This window comes from Homo sapiens, chromosome 1 (assembly GCF_000001405.40).
Source record: "Homo sapiens chromosome 1, GRCh38.p14 Primary Assembly".
In the NCBI taxonomy this organism is placed as follows: Eukaryota; Metazoa; Chordata; class Mammalia; order Primates; family Hominidae; genus Homo; species Homo sapiens.
In genome coordinates this window covers 201,378,940-201,380,832 of record NC_000001.11, presented here as the reverse complement: position 1 = coordinate 201,380,832, position 1,893 = coordinate 201,378,940, and the positions used below count along the sequence as shown (strand labels likewise).

Sequence of the window (1,893 nt, the reverse complement as noted above, 5' to 3'; positions counted from 1 at the left end):
CATCTTGATTGACTGCCCTAGTTTTACCCAGAATCAGCTGGGGATGTGGCCAGGTGCAGAGCCCCCTGCCCATTCCCCCTTTGCATGCCTGGGGAAGCTCCAGGTCTTTTTGGAACACGACCCTTAACACGGCTCCTAAGGGGGTATCACCAGTCCAGTTCCCCAAGTGTGTGGGGGATGAGCCCTAGCCCTACTCTGTGACTCTGGGTGAGGGCTCCTCAGATCTGTGCCCCAGGGGACAGGCCCTCAAAGTGCCATCCGTGCTCAGGTCCCAGTGCCCCAGGCTGACCCACCTCTGGTCAGTGAGTCTCCTGTGCCTGAGTGAGGGATATCGGGACCTGGGGTCCCTGCCCCGAGCACCTCCCACCCACTGCTAGTGCTGGGGCTTTGTGAGTGTTCCAACTTCATAGCCGAGAGTTGGAGGACAAGGCTGGGGCAGGGCCGAGGAACGGATTGAGTCCTGCCTAAGCCTCGGGACATCTAAACAGCTCTGGCTCTGCCCAGACCTCAGGTGTGACCCTGAGCCATTTTCCTTCTCTGAACTTCAAGCAGATGACCTCAGAGAACTTTCATATGTTCATGCCATGATAGGTGAACTTTTCCAGTAAACAAAACTGTCCCCACACAGAGGAGAGGCTCCTGGAGGCCTTCACCTGGCAGGGCCTGACCGTGGAGTAAGAGCCTAGGAAGACACTGAGGGGCCTGTTCCTGCAGCTGCAGCCTCAGCAGGGCCCTTCATGCCTGCACCCCCCTCCCCTGGGGTGCCCAGTGAGGGCTGACTGCTAGGGGAAATGTCGGGGTGCTACAGCACAGCCCCCTCCCCTGTGAATCCAGCACGTGAGGGCCCTGCCCTCGTTCCTACTGGGGACGCAGCCAGTAAACAAGGAGACCAGGGTGTGCCCAAGATGACCTCAGCTGGGGATAGATGAGTGGTAGCGACTGGGTGTCCAGGCGGGTGGGGAGGCCTCTGGATGGGTGACATTGGGCACCTTCTGGAGACAGAACAGGGCTCCCACACACCACTCCGGGCTGCACCCTCCTGCTGTCTTGCCACAGGGGCCCTGTGCCCCACAAGTGGCCCGTCCTATTGTGGATCCTCAAATTTACATGCACTGTTTCAGCATAAGCCTCCCATTCCACTCTGGCTTTGTTTTCTCTTTACATCCCTTTGAAAGGACAGGGATATAAAAAAAAAATGGGCTAAGAGTAACCCTACTATGCCCAGGAGTGGCTGCTGCATGGGGGCTGGATTTCCTTATCTGAGAGGCTGTCTCACAGCGCTCTGAACGAAGCTCCTGCCTTAGAACAATTCGAAGCCATACACGTGTGGCCTGTGACACCAAGGATCTACTGGGCTTTTCCCATGGGGCTCAGTAGTGACCTAGGTGCCCAGATCCCTCTTCTAGGCATCCATGCAAATAAACCGTGGTCTGTTTGAAAGGTTATTGGGCTTACAAGGAACAGTAACCCACCCTCAAGTTAAAAAAGGGTTTGGGAAAAGTAATTCCGAATTCTACGTTACTCCAGGCCAGGACCCAAGGCAAGGCTGGGCCCTGCTTCGTGGGCTAGAATGGGAGAGAGAGATGATGGGGCTCCCCCCACTTTCTTGACAGCCTGACTCCTTCCTCACTATCCCTCGGGAATCTGTCCCCTCCATCTGCCTGTCTCTCTACAAAGTGCCCCTGCTTCCCTGTGGTGGTCCTCAGTCCCACAATGCTGGCCAGCGGGCGGTTGGCTTCAGCTTGCCCTGCCACAGATGTGCTGGCAGTGTGGAGGCCCACGTGGCAGGGCAATCAAGGCCACTGGACTCAGAGGCCACAGGGAACTATGGAGGGGATGGAGTCAGCTGAGTGATGGGACAAGAGTCTGACAGCAGCATGGGTGTGGAGCAAA

The 1,893-nt window shown here is 56.9% G+C and overlaps 1 annotated feature.

The window, feature by feature from the left end:
- Positions 547-1,310: an enhancer, noted in NCBI's record as "H3K4me1 hESC enhancer chr1:201348651-201349414 (GRCh37/hg19 assembly coordinates)". NCBI's record gives its function as "activates a minimal SCP1, AML or CMV promoter by ChIP-STARR-seq in naive H9 embryonic stem cells {active_cell/tissue: H9 hESC(naive)}" and the evidence as "EXISTENCE:reporter gene assay evidence [ECO:0000049][PMID:30033119]".